Raw genomic sequence first — 19611 nt, forward strand, 5'->3', positions numbered from 1 at the left:
TCCAATCACTTCATATGGGGTAAAAGTCACTGTTAAAAGCCAACAGAAAACCGCGTGGCATAAAGCAATCACAAAGATCACAAACATACAGATTCTTCATCATTGAATTGACTGTCCTACTCTGACATAGTTGACTGAGCACGACACACAGAAAAGAGAGAATCCCTTGTGGCTTAGTGTAAAGAGAGGAAGTAGGCTGTATTTCCTCCTTCCCTGGTCCCATTCCTTCCCTTCTACCTCGGAGGCAACTGTCATTCATTTTAGTCTGTATCCAGTCCAGGTTTACTAAATATACATGTCCGCAGATACATAATAAATATTCTTTTGCTCATTTTAACTTACATAAATAGTATCATATAGAATTAGGAAGCAGGTGTAGCTGCTGGAACAAAGACCAAAATAATGGTGGCTTAGACAAGTTTCTCTTTCCTTCACAGAAGAGTCAGTGCATAAGTATTCCTGGGATGAAGTGGTGGCTCCCTACTCCTCCCTCACTACCCCTCCCTAATCTTCCTGCTCTACCACCAAGAGGGTGTTGCCCTCACCATCAGGCCCACGTGTCAGGCAAAGGGAAACGAGAAAACAACCAGGGAAGGCACTCCCTTTAACGGCACAGCCTCTAAATTACACACACACACACACACACACACACACACACACACACACTTCCACTGATATCCTATTGGCCAAGTACTTGGTCATATGATCATATTTGGCTGCAAGAGAGGCAAGAAAATAAAGTCTTCTTTCTGGGAGGTCATTGAACCTTCTAAAAGTCTATTATGAGGAAAAAAATGGAAAGCAGATACTGGGGGACAAGCAGCATTTTCTGTTGTATTAACTGAATGAATTTTGCTGCATCTCCCTTTTTTAACTCCATATTATGTTTTTTGCAGGTTACTGTGTTAGTCTATTTGCATTTCTATAAACAAATACCTGAGACTGGGTAATTTATAAAGAAAAGAGGTTTATTTGGCTCATGGTTCTGCAGGCTGTACAGGAAGCACAGTGTCCACATCTGTCTCTGAGGCGGGCCTCAGGCTGCTTATAACCATGGTGGAAGGCGAAGGGGAGCCAGCATGTCACATGAAGAGAGGGAGCAAGTGAGAGAGTGGGGAGATGCCAGGTTCTTTAAACAACCAGATCCCACCTGAACTAACAGATCAAGAACTCACTCATTAGTGGCAGGGATGGCACCAAGCCATTTATGAGGGATCCACCCCCATTAATCAAAACACCTCCAACCAGGCCCACCTCCAACATGAGAGGTCACATTTCAACATGAGATTTGGAGGGGACAAATAATATCCAAACCATATCAGTTACTCACGTTGAAACATAAATTCATTCATGTTCACTGCTGTTCAGTTATACATTGTGCACTGAGTCTTGTATAAGGGCTCAGTGACAGATTTGCTTTAGAATTTAAGATAAAAATTCTAAATGCAGTGTATTAATATGCCACAGTTTATTAAACCATGTCCCTACTGCTAGACACCTGGGTCTTTTAAATTCACTACATTTACAAAATGTTTGAGTCACATCTGGGGAAATGTTAAATTAGTCAAATGCCAAATTAGGTATACTCAGGCTATTTTGTAAAGCCTTTAAGATGCTCTACACAGCAAGCCACTTAAAATAGAAAACGACAGTACTGAACTATAGCATACAAGGAGGAAGTAAATTTATGGTCCTCCTAGACTTTTTGTTATTGTAATCAAGCATTACATGGTGCTCTGAGTTTCTTGATAACTGAAACAAAAAGGAAGCATTGTGTGCTATTTAATTCTCATAATCTGATAAGAGGGAATAACCAGTTAAGAGAAATAAATGTTTGCTTAATCCTAAATTCTCAAAGCTGTCAGATGGCCCCTTATCCATGGGTCAATTAGCAAAAAAGGATAACATCTTTAACAACCAGTTATATAGAAAATGCACAAGGCAGGCTGGGCATGGTGGCTCATGCCTGTAATCCCAGCACTTTGGGAGCCTGAGGCGGGTGGATCATCTGAGCTCAGGAGTTCAAGACCAGCCTGGCCAACATGGTGAAACCCTGTCTCTACTAAAAATACAAAAAACTAGCTGGGCATGGTGGCGGGCGCCTGTAATCCCAGCTACTTGGGAGGCTGAGCCAGAAGAATCGCTTGAACCCGGGAGGTGGAGGTTGCAGTGGGCTGAGATCACACCATTGCACTCCAGCCTGGGCAACAAGAGTACAACTCCATCTCAAAAAAAATTAAAAAAAAAAGACAAAAGAAAAGAAAAGAAAATGCACAAGGCTTCTCCAGGAGAAATATTCTTGGGTGACCTTTAGCAAGCAGAGGACTTAACATTGAAAGTTTTTTCTGCGGAGGGTCAAGTTAGTGCCCTAGGTTCATGTCAACATGCAGGTCCTACCCAGAAGAGAATATCCATGAGGACTGGACCACTCCAGGAAAGCTGATCTCCTCCAGAACCCGGTGACTTCCCTGTGGTTCGGTACTTTCAGAGACCACACTATTAGTGACTCTAGTATTATTAGGGGATTTTCCTCTCCCTTCTTAATTAACTCAAGGTTTCAAAACGTTTTGGAGAAGTGAAAAGATACTAGTTATTTCTGTGGGTTTTTTTTTTTCGTGACTGTAAAACACCCAAATATAGTATCTTCCTTTTCATTTTTACTCACAGTTGGTAGTTATTTTTCCTAAACCACAGTTACAATACTCTACCTCAATATACTATACTCAATGTTTTCTGCTTCTTCCTACTACTCTAAGTAATGTGCCCCAAACAGAAAAAGTACATTTTAGTATGCTAATAGTTTCAAATCAGTCAGTGTAGTCTAAGAACTACTTACTGGGCACCCACTTTGTATTAGGGGTTTTACTTACAATATTATCTCTTAATTTTCACCACAACTTTATGAGGTAGGGATTATTAACACCACTTTACAGTTAAAAAAAAAAACTGGATCTTCAAGAGTAAGTAACTGCCCTAAGACCACATAGCTGGTAAACTGTAGAAGTAGGATTCCAACTTGCATACTTCCAATTCCAAAGCCAGAGTTCTTTCTGCTATTTCCTGATGTCTCCCAGATGACAAGTAAATTATGGATATTTGGCTCAGCTTTGTAAATAATATACATGCCTACTACGTTGAAGCCCCAAACCTCCCCTCAACACAGGATGCTCTATATAATCTGGCCATAATGAAGCCCCTCCCCAAATTTTATTTCCTACTGGACTCTACAAGGACCTCATCTCCACCCCAATCTAATTTGGCAGGTTTCACTATTGCCTCCATACTTATGGACAACACATATATTTTTTGAGATCCCCGACAAATATTTTTTGAGATCCCCGACAAATATTTTTTGAGATCCTACTATGTCCCAGGCACTGTTCTAGTGTTTGGAGATATATGTCAGTGAACGAAACAAATACAAATTCCTGCTTTTCTGGACTTCGTTATATTTCTAATAAGGGAAGAAACATAAGAAACAAAATAAGTAGATTACATGGTATGTTAGAATACGGTAGGTGCTATGGCTAAAAATAAGGCAGGGAAAGGGTTAAGGAGTGTAGTGTGGAGTAGAGGATTGTGAGTTTAGAAAGAACCAATAGAAATCCTGGAAAAGAAAAACATGACCTTAGCATTTTTATTTCATTTTCAAGTTCAACAGCAGACTAGACACAGTAAAGAGAGAACTGGCAAACTAGAAGATAAATTTGTTGAAAGAGATTCATTCATCAAGCAAATTAATACTTATTGAGCATGTACTATATATCAGACATTGCGCTAGATTAAATTATTCCATCTTGACAAAATTCCTTTCCACTTGGATTATGTTCCCAGGTTTAATTTCAACTCTTTAAGACCCTACCCAAGCTCCTTACTCACATTGATATCTCATTTCTCTCAATAAGTATCCTAAAAATAATTTTTAAAGAATTTTTAAAGTATTTATTTATATCACAGATTAGTCCAGTTCTTAAATTATTCCCTCCCTAACTAGACTGTAAATTCCTTGAGGATCAGACCTATAGGTAAGATTTCTTTTCTATTTCACATGTGGAATAGCACAGTAACAGGCATACAGTAGGCATTCAATAAACACTTGACTGATTTGGTATATTTTTGGGTCCCTATAACTGAACAGCTTTTTCTTTGTAATGGCTCAGTTACAGTTAGTTCCTGGAAATGGTCACAAAATTGTTAATAACTACATTATGATTCACTGATCCCAAAAATATGAGTCCAGTGGTATAAGGTTAAATTCTGAATCTAATCAAATTTTTGCGAATGTGCCCTCATTCTCGGTTAGTTGAAAATGACAAATGTCGCACAGAGTGTATTTTTCAGTCTTGAGAAGCCTTATACATGCCCTCTGACTTAGAATTGACTTACAATTTTTCCCCTTTAAGATGGTGCAAAAGCGATACACATTCAGTAGAAACTGAACTTTGAGTATCCATACAACCATTCTGTTTTCACTTTCAGTATGGTATTCAATAAATTATGAGCTATTCAACACTTTATTATGAAACAGGCATTGTGTTAGATGATATTGCCCAATTGCAGGCTAATGTAAGTGTTCTGAGCACATTTTCGGTCAGCTGGGCTAAGCTATGATGTTTGGTAGGTAAGGTGCATTAAATGCATTTTCAAATTGCAATATTTTAAACTTATGATGGCTTTATCAGGACATAACTCCATCATAAGTCAAGGAACATCTGTACATTACTTAATTTTATTTCTGGCAAAAGTCCTTAAGGCAGGCAGTGCACATATAGACAGCCCCTGACTTATAATAGTAATCTTATTTTATAAATCAAGATGTTGAAGTCTAGAGATATTAAGTGGTCTGCTCAAGTGAAGATGGGTACTGAAGACTGAAGGAGTGACTCAGACCTGAGACTTCTAGATCCCAGTCCAATGCTCAGATGCATAAACCTAGATGCATGATATATCATTAAGGGGATAAGTGGTAAGGTGAGAATTTGCAGGGCCTTAGAGGGCTCTGACTTGGTAAAGATATGCTTATTTTGAGCACGCAAATAGAAACCAGCCAGTTTCTTTATTAAAAAGAGAAGAAACAAACATTGATAAACCAAGAAAGGAATCCCTATTGCCTGCCTTAATTCAATAAACATTCAGCCACTGGATGCTATGAACCCTGAGACGACTTAGGCAGGATCCTCTTCAGTAAGACCAGAAGCTCTAGCACACAGCACAAATGCTGCAACAGACACAGGTGCTACAAAAGCACAGAGGGGAAGGAATTTCCTTGCCCAAGTCTGTTCTCAAATTCCCACTCACTCACCCCCTAAAACACTTTAAATATAGAATCATGCAGACTCTATGGCTATCATAAATGTACTGACTCTTCTGGTTTAAAATATCCATTGTAACCATTAGCAAATTGGAGATCTAACTGATTTATACCCAAACAAGAAGGGACGATTCTGATATCAATAGGCAAATAGTACCCAAGTGGCTTTAAAACCTTATTTGAAGCTATTTTGATCATAATGTGTTTCTTTTTATTTATTTATTTTTTCCTGTTTCTGATTCTAGTTCCCTGCTGTTTGGGGAAGGGGAAACCACCTTGTACTGAAGTCACTTGGCTTCTGGATAAAGCCAGAACTCTGACCAAAACGATAAAGGCTGCCCAGGACAGAAATGAAACAAAAAATCCTAGCCCTACTTCTCCATTGTGGACACCTGGTCTCATGAGTTATGGCAACACGCATCCACCAGAATAACCGCATTTTCCTAAAGAAATTGTGAAATAATTGGGAAGGGGGTGTCCCATTCTTGAGTAAGTAATCAGCATTGCAGACAAGAACTATGTCATAAAAACCAAAGTTGAAATTGTGTTACATATTCCTGGAAAATACTCAAAAGGTGCTCTGAGTTCTATAAGATGGACAGATACATTATACATACTAATTATACCAAAGGTCAGGTGATTAGAAATGCCACATTGTACCACAAAAATCACCCTGATACTTGTGTTAATTTTTCTTGTATTTGTGTAATAAAGTGTTTTGAAGTTTTTAAGAGAAAATTACTGCACAAGGAGCAGTCATCTTCTTAAATGTCCCAAAAAATACTGATGTAGGGTCATCCAAAATCTTTTTTTTGAGACACAGTCTGCTCTGTGGCCCAGGCTGGAGTGCAGTGGCACAATCTCAGCTCACTGCAACCTCCACCTCTGGGGTTCAAGCGATTCTCCTGCCTCAGCCTCCTGAGAAGCTGGAATTACACATGTGCGCCACTGTACCTGGCTAATTTTTGTATTTTTAGTAGAGATGGGGCTTCATCATGTTGGCAAGGCTGGTCTCGAACTCCTAACCTCAAGTGATCCACCCATCTCAGCCTCCCAAAGTGCTAGGATTACAGGTGTGAGCCACCATGCCTGGCCCCAATCTTTATTCATTTCAGAAACATACTTTAAATATTTATCCAACTGCAACTTTCAAGGGCTGTGAAAGACCTCTTAAAGGAGAACTACAAACCACTGCTCAATGAAATAAAAGAGGACACAAACAAATGGAAGAACATTCCATGCTCATGGATAGGAAGAATCAATATCATGAAAATGGCCATACTGCCCAAGGTAATTCATAGATTCAATGCCACCCCCAATCAAGCTACCAATGACTTTCTTCACAGAATTGGAAAAAACTACTTTAAAGTTCATATGAAACCAAAAACGAGCCCACATTGCCAAGACAATCCTAAGCCAAAAGAACAAAGCTGGAGGCATCACGCTACCTGACTTCAAACTATACTACAAAGCTACAGTAACCAAAACAGCAGGGTACTGGTACCAAAACAGAGATAAAGACCAATGGAACAGAACAGAGCCCTCAGAAATAATACCACACATACACAACCATCTGATCTTTGACAAACCTGACGAAAACAAGAAATGGGGAAAGGATTCCCTATTTAATAAATGGTGCTGGGAAAACTGGCTAGCCATATGTAGAAAGCTGAAACTGGATCCCTTCCTTACACCTTATACAAAAATTAATTCAAGATGGATTAAAGACTTAAATGTTAGACCTAAAACCATTAAAACCCTAGAAGAAAACCTAGGCAATACCATTCAGGACACAGGCCTGGGCAAGGACTTCATGTCTAAAACACCAAAAGCAATGGCAACAAAAGCCAAAATTGACAAATGGGATCTAATTAAACTAAAGAGCTTCTGCACAGCAAAAGAAACCACCATCAGAGTGAACAGGCAACCTACAGAATGGGAGAAGATTTTTACAATCTACCTATCTGACAAAGGGCTAATATCCAGAATCTACAAAGAACTTAACAAATTTACAAGAAAAAATCAAACAACCCCATCAATAAGTGGGTGAAGGATATGAACAGACACTTCTCAAAAGAAGACATTTATGCAGCCAACAGACACATGAAAAAATGCTCATCATCACTGGCCATCAGAGAAATGCAAATCAAAACCACAATGAGATACCATGTCACACCAGTTAGAATGGCGATCATTAAAAAGTCAGGAAACATCAGGTGCTGGAGAGGATGTGGAGAAACAGGAACACTTTTACACTGTTGGTGGGACTGTAAACTAGTTCAACCATTGTGGAAGACAGTGTGGTGATTCCTCAAGGATCTAGAACTAGATATACCATTTGACCCAGCCATCCCATTACTGGGTATATACCCAAAGGATTATAAATCATGCTGCTATAAAGACACATGCACACATATGTTTATTGTGGCACTATTCACAATAGCAGACTTGGAGCCAACCCAAATGTCCATCAATGATAGACTGGATTAAGAAAATGTGGCACATATACACCATGGAACACTATGCAGCCATAAAAAGGATGAGTTCCTATCCTTTGTAGGGACATGGATGAAGCTAGAAACCATCATTCTGAGCAAACTATCACAAGGACAGAAAACCAAACACTGCATATTCTCACTGATAGGTGGGAATTGAACAATGAGAACACTTGGACACAGGGTGGGGAACATCACACACCGGGGCCTGTCGTGGGGTGGGGGGAGGGGGAAGGGATAGCATTAGGAGATACACCTAACGTAAATGACGAGTTAATGGGTGCGGCACACCAACATGGCACATGTATACATATGTAACAAACCTGCACATTGTACACATGTACCCTAGAACTTAAAGTATAATAAAAAAAATTTATCCAACTGACTAAAATGGGTTAAACTAAAAACACAAAACCAGTTAATATATGAGCATAATAAATAAAATAAATAAAAGAGCACAACAAAAATAATAATTTTAAAAGTTGTTTGAGGAAAACCATAGAAAATAAGCTTAAAACTTTGTGCTTCTTGCTGACAAGAACAAAATAGAAAACACTAGAACAAACATAGGTTTCCTACTCTAGCTTAAGGTTTGATAACTCAAAAAAATATTTTGTTGGTCTTGTGCTCTAAGAAGAAACTATCTCAGGGTTTTGTGGAAATTAGGGGGAGGGGGCCACGAAGGTCAATAGCCTTAATAACATTTTTCTCCTAAATGTGAAGGCATTCCATATATGAGTAGCTCTAAGAGAAAACTAAAGACATAAAGTTAGTTTGGTTCTATAAGGGCAATTCCAGGAGTGAAAGGCTGAAGGGCACAATAACATGGTCTAATCTGTCATTTCCTGATGTTTTGACTTAAATTGTTTTTTGAGAAACTAGTAAGTAATATATTCCTTAAGAACATTCCTCTCTCAAATACCAAAATTTTCAGCCAGCCTTCTGACAAGAACAAGATGAACAACAAACATGATTAAGGTCATTACTGAGGACCTCAATAGCTGGTAACATAAAAGATCTATAGGCTACATCTTCCAGGTATGTTGGTTGTAATGATACTTGTTATGAAAAAGAAATCAAAGATCTTGACCTGCATATTCTTGTCTGCTGAAGAGAAGTTCTATAATCACAAACAAGACTTTCCTCAGAAACTAACTTTGGTTCTAGGACTTGAGCAATTATTTGATTCAAGCATAAAAACTTAGTGCCACTGAGTAGCACCTCATCACACCCATATCCTGTCCTTTCCCACTCCTGCCAACTCTACTTCTCAAGTATTTTCCTGATCACCCCCTCTTCTCCTTATTATCATTACTCTGGTTCAAGCTCCCTGACTGGATTTTCTGCAGTCGTTTCTTAACTATCCCCCCTGCTTCTCCCCTGATTCCCCAATCATTCCTTCTCCATCAGCCACCAGACTAATTTCTCTGAATCACAAATGAGGCTAGTCACGCCATGACCCTGCTTAAAATTATTCAGCAGCTTCATCATCCATGGGAAAAAAAAAAATCCAAGCTCCTTAACATGGCATTCAAGGCCCACAAAGCACTGGCACCTGCCAATTTCACTTCCCACTGCCATCTGCCCCTACACATAAACACTCATATTCAACTCCTCAGAATTCCCCACATACACCTTGCATCCTCCTCTACCTGGCATTATTGTCCTCCAAGACCTCCCTCACAGCCGTGGCAGAGAAGAGAAAAGAAGGGGACCCTAGCTGATGGAACTGATCATCCAAATAACTCCTGAAGATCACTGAGATGATATAACAAAGCAAAACCACCTACGTTTTTAGACTGCCAAGACTATATCCTGAATTTCCAGAATAAAACCTCTCAAAAAAGTGATAAAGCATCACATGAGTGGATGTTAAACGTAAGGCCTCACAGTACAACAAAATCTAAACTTAAGAACAAACAGGCTGAACAAAGGACTTCAAATCGGCATGCCCACAAAAGGATCGCCTCTGGTCCTTATACATATAACTACATTAATAATGATTTAAAACATTTTTTCTTACTGCAATTATCTTTATGGTCCTTTTTGAAAATATAATTTGATTTAAGGTGATCTTACAAAATTCCAGGGAATAATTCTTATTCTTAATAAAGTTTAATAGTCTGTTGAGATTCAAGTGTTCCAATAGGTATGGTTCTTTCCACTTCTAAAATTAAATCACTTAATGAGAATTGCCAGAAAGAGACTTCATTAGTAATTATCCATAATGGTAGAGAACACACAAGATACATTTGCACTGTTCTATTGTTATAAGCCAGCAGAAGAGTGGAATTTTCAAAGATGCAAATAGTTCCCCTCGGTCATATTACCCTGGATAGAAATTAGAGCTGCAAGCTAATAGGAGACTGAGGGACAAGGGCATGCTCCTCAGCCTGTGGTTTCTCTGGCTTCCAAAGCTAGAAGCAAATGATTCTTTTTTTTTTTCCAATCCATCCATTAAGCTTCCAAGAAATAAACACGTTTGCTTCAAAATTCAATTCCCTGTGGGGTTATCTTCAGATGCTGCATGGGTTTATTAGAATTAATTGCAACACAGCACAGCTTCCAAAGTGAAGGCCCAGGGTTGACAAAAGACCCTCCCTATCACAGCCACCAACCCACCAAAGGCTATGGGGACTCTCTTGCAAACAATATCTGAGCAATCTCGAGGAAGACAAGCAAAGGCCTTGCCTTTCTCAACTTCAGTCTAGAGCAGGTAGGGAGGGGTAGCCCATAAATGAGTAAACAAAGAGAAAAGATGATTACGTATTGTGCTAAGTGCAGTTAGTGAAGGCAGTCGGCGATGTTTGTCAGCAAGATGCATTTTTTTCCATTTTGCTTCCCACATCTGCAATCAACATATAACTTCATGGTATGAACTATTAAACACATAAACACTAGAACAAATGTGGGTTTCCTATTCCAGTTCAAGGCTTGATAAGTCAAAAAACTATTTTGATGGTCCTGGGTTCTAAAAAAACACTGTTTCTCTCTGGTGGGTGTGTGTGTGGGTGTGGGGGTGTGTGTGTGTGTAAGGGCGAGTAGTGAGTACTAGGGTCAACAACAGCCTTAATAGCACGTTGCCCCCAAATACAAAGGTGTTCCACATATAAGTAGCTATGAATGTGGGTTTCAAAACAAAAGCCTTAACTTAGAGTTTTATTATGTTTTAAAATCATCACTGTCTTAGTGTTTAAACACCTGTTTAAGTCCTCTTAATAAGGTAGAAATGCCTGTTTATGGCTTTTTAAAAATATAAACACAAGGATCCATAGCTTTAAAAAAAACACTTTGTTTCTGTGACAATGTTTGTTAATCTAGCTAATTGAGTTACTTGCAGAAAAATGGGGAACAGAGAGTGATAGTTGAGTTCTTCATGTACAAGTAAGCACTGTTACTCCAAATACCTTAGTTACCTGAATTATTCTAAGGTTATTTGTAAAAACTAAAATTCCACGAGGCAAAGAAGGACTTTTATCAATCCCATTTATATTTGATTTCTGTATTACACATAAAGAATTGGACTATTAAAGAAAGTAACCAAATGAGAGATGGATGTTTAAAAATAACATTAAATGAGTGATTTGGGAACTCCAAAACTTTATGTGACCAAGTTATTTCTTCTCTGTGCCTACAGGTCTTTGTCACACTGGGATTGCAATTTATTAGATGCCATACACAAGTTCTATTGTGGGCTCCAATCAGAGGTACAGGGAAAACCTCCAGAAGATTCTTCCTTAGTAAGCAGCAGGTAACGTTCTGTAATTTTAGGCCACCACACGGAACCAATTGTCACTCACAGTTTCTGTCACAGAGTGGGATGTGTCACACTTCATTTGGTGCAAAATATGACAATGAAAAACACAACTTGATCAACCTATTTTAGCAGCCTCTGTTCAGCCATCAGTGTGAGGAGCTGGAGTACTGTGACAAAGCATTAGGCTCCTTACAATGCCGACCTAGAAACCAAATCACTGCTTTGTAGCAAGGAATGAAAATCAGGATGAAAAAGCTACAGTTGATCTCCCCACCCAGCAAAGGAAATATGGACAAAATACAATCACCACCACATATATAACAGGTGGACTTCATGTAAGGATTAATATAATGATTCATGTAATATAAGGCTCATCTTCAAAAAGGAATGATTTGCTCCCTTTGCCATGACTAATGTGTCTGGGTGGGGCAGCCCGTGGTGTATCGGCAATAAGATTTCTACAAAAAAAAAAAAAAAAAAAGAAAGAAAGAAAGAAAAAAAACAGAAAGAAAAGAAAAGAAAGCAAAAACACCACCACAAAGCAATGTCTGAATCCCTGAGTCAGCCCCAAATGCACACTCATTGTTCAGACTTGCCCGGGTTTCCTCCCAAAGAAAATTTACTCACTCTCCTATGGAAAGGCAAAGTAGGAGACTACAGGAGCATCAAAGCCATGGACCCTGTCAAGGATGCCAAGAGGAGGGGGAAATACACCTTCCGACCTCAAGAATTTTGGAGAGGGGGCTGTCTCAGTAGCAAAGCGGGTCAAGAAATGTGATATGAGGCCCTAAAACCATAGCATAGGACTTCCTCGGTATGTAGGACAGGGGTACAAGCCAAAGGGCAGGTGCTATATTCACCCACACACACCATAAGGAATCCATGCTTCCTGGAAACTGCCCATTGATGTCACCCTGTGCAGCTGTAACCTGTGTGAGTGTTCTGACTCAGTCATAACAATGACATTTTGGCTGGGCACAGTGGCTGACGCCTGTAATCCCAGCAATTTGGGAGGCTGAGGCAGGTGGATCACTTCAGGTCAGGAGTTCAAGGCCAGCCTGGCCAACATGGTGAAACCTCATCTCTACTAAAAGTACAAAAAAAAAAATAGCTGGGCGTGATGGCGCACGCCTGTAGCCCCAGTTACTTGAGAGGCTGAGGCAGGAGAATTGCTTGAACCTAGGAGGCAGAGGTTGTAGTGAGAAGAGATCACACCACTGCACTCCAGCCTGGGCAACAGAGTGAGATTCCCTCTCAAAACAACAACAGCAGCAACGATGACATTTTAAAAACAATTAATTCCACTTTTTTTTTTTGAAGCAGTTGCTTTTTTATTGTTAACAATCCCTCATATGAGAATAGCCCATTGCGGTTAATAAGGTACTTATGACCATTACCTCAATTATTCCTCACAAAAGCTCTATGAGATATAAGCATGATTTTACTAATAAGGAAACAGAAGCTTAGAGAAGTTGAATAGACTACTCAGTAGTTAGTAAATGGTAGACCCAGGGCCCAAGCCCAGATTGTTCCTTGCTCTTTCCTCACAATGGTTAACTTGGTTTCTGGAGTGGAGTTATAGGCTAAAATGACATTAAAATTCTATTAAATGTGGTTTCCGCAGTAGAGGTTTTAAGCTGAAGTGATATCATTAAAATTATATCCTTTTGAAAAATATTTATTGAGTATAAATAAATGTCCTATACATTAAATATCAAGAAATATTCATTATTGATTACAAGTCAAGATGTAATACTGAGGGAACCATAGAATAAAAATACCCACTCATGATACAGTAGTGATAACTCCATTCCAATATTGGACACAGTAATGATTTGTTCACAAGACACAACAAAACCCATCAAAAAGGCCATCACTTTAACCAACCTATAATACCACAATAGAAAATGGTTCTGAAACATAATATGAACAGCCCCAATAATCTCATCTTTGTCTTATCAGTTTATCAGGTCATTTTGAGACTGCAGAGTTATAGTGTCATAGATTTTTAACATTCCATTTCCTTAGTTTTATTTCAAATTATTACTAATGAATGAAAACAAGTCATACAAGCCAAAGATACCTTTAAACTAAGTTCAATTTTCATAAGAAAAAAGGAATCAAATTTTAGTACAAAAAAAGCGTTTCCCAAACAATGAGTCTCCTAATGGAAAAAATACAAGAGCAATGTAATTAAACTTTCCTTCAAAGAAAGGAAAGAAACGTAAATCTGTTACGTTAATTTGGAAAGATAAATATTTCCTAGTCCCCTAGTCCCATAATATGTGTTTGTTTTACAAGATATACTTGAATGATGCCAATCTATGAAGTAGGGATCTGTGGCAATCCAAATTCATCCACCAGAACTCCATCCTTGTTTTTCGTATCAGTGGGAACACCTTCCGGAATTGCAGGTGCAGATGCTGTCTCATACAAATAAGAACTGTCTTCATCAGCCAGAAGCTCATCACCCAGTGCATCCAACTTTGCTTCTAGGTCATCTTCATCCAGTTCTGGTGTGCCATAACTGCGACTCAGTGCTTCTTGGATTTCATTTGCATCTTCCATCATATCCTCTAGCTGGTCTCGTAAATCCTCAATCTGGTCGATTTTCACTTGCTTGTGTGCCTTCTTCATTTCCTTTACTCCCAGTTTCATAGCATCAACCGTGGTCTTGGTGTCCTTCAATGACTGGATGGTATAATTGGCTTGTTCTATGTTGAATGACTATTGGGCAAGATTGCCCTGCTGCTGCTCATACATCCACTTTTGCTTTAAAACTCACGAGGCTTTCTGCTTAACCATACTCTTTGCAGGACCCTCTCTCATCTTCTTGATCTGATCCTTATACTTCACTAGCTCAGCATCCAATCGAGAAATCTTCTTGTCAATGGATTCTGCCCTGCTGTCCACCATGTCAATGCAGTCAGTCAGGCTGGGCAGTGGAGCCTTGGGTTTCACTTTCCCGAAGAATTGGTTGATCTTGAGCGGCCGCAAAGAAACCCAAACACTGGAGCAAAACCATAAACCACTTATTTCTTATGAGGAAAAATGGGGAAGAGGAGCTATAGGAATCAGAAGGGTTCAGAGCAGGGAGTCTAGAGGCAGACTGCCCGGATTCAAAGCTCAGCTTCATCATTTACTAAGCTACATGACCTGGGCAAGTCACTCAACTTCTTTGTGCCTCAATTTTCTCATCAGGAAACTATAAATGGTATTGAGTTGTTAGAAGAATTAAATGAGTTAATATTTATAAAATGTCTGGAATGGACCAGGAGCCATGGCTCACTCCTGCAATCCTAACACTTTGGGAGGCCGAAGTTGGGAGGATCGTTTGAGCCCAGGACATTGGGGCTGCTGTGAGCCATGATCACACCAGTGCACTGCAGCCTGGGTAACAGAGCAAGACCCTGTCTCAAAAACAAAATAATAAAAATAAATAAAATAAAATGCCTGGAATGGTGCCTGGCATATATAAGCACTGTTAAATTTTGTTATTTAAAATAAAAACTTTTAAAATGTTTAAACAGCTAAGAAGAGCCCTTGGCCCCATTCAGACCTCTCACCAGAGCTAAAGTTGGAAGTTCTGTTCTTCCTTCTTCCCCAGACCATGTGCCAGAACTGCTGACAGGAGTCTCAGTGTCTGTCCTGAAGGCAGATGATCCTCCCTATTCTCACCTTGTCATTGCTCTAACCCCCATTCAGATCCCCTGCATCCCCAACACGAGTCCAGTTAGCCCAGTTTGTAATGCTAACCTTCCATTTCAAGGTGTCAGTGCAGTGGCACAGCTATGGTGATGAGACCAAGCGGCAACCAGAGCCCCAAGACACACACTGGTTTCCATTTAATACAATATTTACTTATCTTTATATTAGGACACAGGAGAGGAAACCCATCAGGGACCGCAGCTTCATCTCAATGGGAGGACCAGCAGCTACCCAAGTCTACAGCTACTTGTGTCCCTCATCCACACAGGTCACGTATGACTGCCACGGATGATAGGCAAGATGTTTGCGGATTTTGCTGATGAAAAAAACAGCCCCTTTTCCTGTCAATCTTTTATACCACCCTCAGGCATGCCAAATGTCCCCATGCCAATTTACAGCTTCCCAGTGGAGGGGCAGCTCCATGTGACAACCAAGGCAGGCGCAACATCCCCCAATTATCTTAACTCTTACTGTTTTCAACAACATAGAGCATAGGAGGCCAGGGTCACTCTCAGGTAGGCCTATATCAGCCCAAGCCTTCACTCATGAATGCCAATTCACTTTTTAATGGAATGCAGCCTTGGGCCCCAAAAGGGCAATCAAGGTCCCCCACAATCTATTGCCTGAATATGTTTCCTGTCTCATCTCCTACAACTGATCCCCGCATACCCTAAACTCAGCCACACAGCCTGCTTCACCCTTTGGCTCACTGTGCACAGTTGTGTTACACTCAAGAGTGTCAACTCGGGGGCAGAAACCTTTTATTTTCTCTTCCTATCACCTGGTACCCCAATGCAATCTCTTAAACACTAAAAATTCAGCAAAACCTTAACTGCATTTAAGCAAATGAAGCTGGGTCACAATTACTCTGGTACAGTGAAGGAAAGTCATGGAATTTTAAAAGTTCCGATGTCTGGATGACAGTGATCCTTATACACATGAAATATTAAAGGCCACAAGCCTCATCCAAACCACTCTCTTGATTCCACAGCAGGAGGAAGATACGCCAGAGGGATCGCAAAGCTAATTGCTTAATAACTCCCTTTGCACAATGTTCCCATAGCCATCCTTGTGAGTAGAGCCTGTGTCCCTGTACAACAAATAGTCAGCAAATGCTTGGGTAACCAGCATATGACTTAGTCTTGTGAAAAATTATGATTGCGCTTGAGTCTCTTCGTGGAAAGATTTAAATCTGTACTTAATGCCAAAATAAACACAAAGAACTAGCCAATGTAAATTAGGGATATCCCAAAGTTTGACTTAGGCAAAAATCATCTCTGATCTTCAGAAGTAACTGAACGTCTCCTGCAATATCATTTTTGGTATCCCTTAACTGTTAGTGACCAATTATTGCACGATAGCACAGTGACCAGCATAACAATCTGAGTAATATAAAAAAAGTGTACCATTTGTATTTATTAAGTCTATATGTAAGATGGAATAAAAATTGTATTAATCTCTTGAGAGATATATTGATCTTTATTATTGTAAGAATAAAGTACCAATTAATGACTGTGAGAGCGGTTAATTTGATATACAAAATAGTTAACCTATTAAGAATGTATTAAGATAAACACAAAAAGCACAAGCCATAAAGGAAAAATTAATTGATAAACAGGACTTTGTCAAAAACTTAAAATTTCTGTTCTTCAAAAGACACAGTTCAGGAAATGAAAAGACAGGCCACAGACAGGTAGAAAATATTGCATACTACTTATCTGACGAAGGATTGGTATCCAGAAAATATAAAATACACAACTCAATTAGACAAAAAAAGATAAATTTAAAATGGGCAAACAAGTACAAACAGAGACTTCAAAGAGGATATATGGATGGCAAATAGGCATAAGAAAAGATGTTCAACATTATTAGTCAGTAGGGAAATGCAAATTAAAACAGTAAGATACCACTTCATACTAGAATTGATAAAATTTAAAATTCCTAAATAACAAAAGTTGGTAAAGGTGTGGAACAACTGAAAAGCTTCTACATTGCTGATGGAAATGAAAAATGTTCAGATCTTCTAAAAATGATTGCCAGGTTTTTAAAGTTAAACATACACTCACCATGCAGCCAAGGAATCTCACCTTGGGTATTTATTCCAACAGAAATGAAAACCCATGCTCACACAAAGACATGTAAGCAAATGTTCATAGCAGCTTTATTTATAATACCTCATAACTGAAAACAACCCAAATGTTCAATGAATGGTGAATATATAAGTAAACTGTGATATATCCAGACAATTGAATATTACTCAGCAATAAGAAAGGAACAAACTATTGATACACATTACATCACAGATGAATCTCAAAAGCATTATGCTAAGTGAAAGAAGCTAGAAAACAAAAGGTTATCTAATACATGATGTTCTAAAAACGGCAAAACTATAGAGACAGAAAACAGATCAGTAGTTGCCAAGAGCTAGGGTAGAAGAAGGGCATGTTCTGCAAAAGCAGATTTCCAGGGGGATAGAAATGTTCTATTATCTTGATTTTGGTGGTGGTTACACAAGTGTACGCAGTGTCAAAACTCATTGAACTGTATATTTAAAAGAAATGAATTTTGTTGTATGTAAATTATACCTCAATAAACCTGGCTTTTAAAAAGGGAATACTTTAAAAAATAGGTAAACAGCCAGTGAATATTTGAGTGAATTAATGAATGAAGAGTGCAATAATTAAATAACTTAAGGAAAAACAATATATTTGGTTAAGCCAATAAATACCTAAAAATTTAAGTAACAATACAAGATACAATAATAGATATTAGATTATAACATAATTCTAGTCTTTGTAGAATTGTTTGGTGCATTAACATAACATTGCAAAACAAACTTTTAGAGTTGCATTTAATTTCTAGTTATGTCTTTCGTATGACATACATACAATCTAATGAACTCACATGCAATCTAGCAACTGATGGTGCTGAGAAATTATCTCTTGCTGGCTGGGCGTGGTGGCTCATGCCTGTAATCGCAGCACTTTGGGAGGCCGAGATGGGTGGATCACCTGAGGTCAAGAGTTCAAGACCAGCCTGACCAACACAGCGAAACTCCATCTCTACTAAAAATACAAAATTAGCTGGGCATGGTGGTGGGTGCCTGCAATCCCAGCTACTCGGGAGGTTGAGGCAAGAGAATCGCTTGAACCAGGGAGGCAGAGGTTGCAGTGAGCCAAGATCACGCTACTGCACTCCAGCCTGGGAGACAGAGCGAGACTCCATCAAAAAAAGAAAAAGAAAAGAAAGAAAGAAAAGAAATGATCTCTTGCCTTCAATGTCAAACTTTAAAAAGATGATTCCTGAAATTTTTAATAAAATTGCAATAATAATATATTTCTGAATAAAATTTCAGATTTATTTAACTCAGAGGTTCATTCTAAGTTGGTGATATTTTGGTTTGGATAAATATTTATTTTTTAACCCTTGCCACTCAACATTTAGCTAAAATAGTTATTCAGTAGCTAATCTGTTAACTTTCACGGTTTCAAGTTCTGGTTCATGCTCAGCCTGCCTTCACTAAACCAATGTCAAAATACACTCTGGGGTTCAGCCTTCATACCCTTTAAGGACTTATGATAAACTCACCATTACATCCAACATTTACACTAGAAATCCTAATCAATCTTCACAATGTTGATTTCTTACATTAATTTTCAAGATAATTCACTGTAAGACAGAAATATAGTAAGAATCACTTGAAAATTTTCAGAAAATATCCTGAAAATGAGAGTTAAAAATGAAAAAAAAATGGAGCTAAGCAAAATCTTTTTAAAAAAAGAAAATAAAGGAAATCTAGAACAACAATAGAGGTTAAAGACATAATGGATGAGGCTGGGTGTGGTGGCTCATGCCTGTAATCCCAGCACTTTGGGAGGCCAAGGCAGGAGGATCACCAGAGCTCAAAAGTTCAAGACCACCCTGGGAATCAAAGTGAGACCTGGTCTTCTCAAAAAATGAACAAAATTAGCTGGACAGAGTGGTGCATGCCTGTAGTCCCAGCTACTCAGGAGGCTGAGGTGGGAGGACTGCTTGAGCCCAGGAGGTCAAGGCTGCAGTGAGCCTAGATCACACCACTGCACTCCAGCCTGGGCAACAGAGCGAGACTGTCTCAAAAAAAAAAAATTATATATATATATATATATATATATATATATATATATATAAAATGGATGAGAAGACCTTGTTTATAATAGTACCAAAAATATAAAATATCCAGGAATAAACTTAGGAAATGTACAAAACTTAAGTGGAAGACTCAAAAACACTCCAGAAGAACACAAAAGGCTTTAACCAATGGAAAGTCACAGGATATCTTTGAATAGGAAGAATCAACATCA

General features: G+C 38.8%; 1 protein-coding gene and 1 pseudogene across 10 annotated transcripts in view, besides 1 other annotated feature; both read right to left on the reverse strand.

The window, feature by feature from the left end:
• Positions 1 to 19611, reverse strand: part of SLC9A7 (solute carrier family 9 member A7) — a 159868-nt gene that overhangs the window by 112023 nt on the left and 28234 nt on the right. The gene's annotated exons all lie outside the window — the stretch shown is intronic.
• Positions 2872 to 2971: an enhancer, noted in NCBI's record as "active region_29574". NCBI's record gives its function as "activates an Ori minimal core promoter by ATAC-STARR-seq in GM12878 lymphoblastoid cells {active_cell/tissue: GM12878}" and the evidence as "EXISTENCE:reporter gene assay evidence [ECO:0000049][PMID:35858748]".
• Positions 13589 to 14575, reverse strand: CHMP5P1 (CHMP5 pseudogene 1; annotated as a pseudogene).

Source organism: Homo sapiens, chromosome X (genome assembly GCF_000001405.40).
Source record: "Homo sapiens chromosome X, GRCh38.p14 Primary Assembly".
NCBI classification, from domain to species: Eukaryota; Metazoa; Chordata; class Mammalia; order Primates; family Hominidae; genus Homo; species Homo sapiens.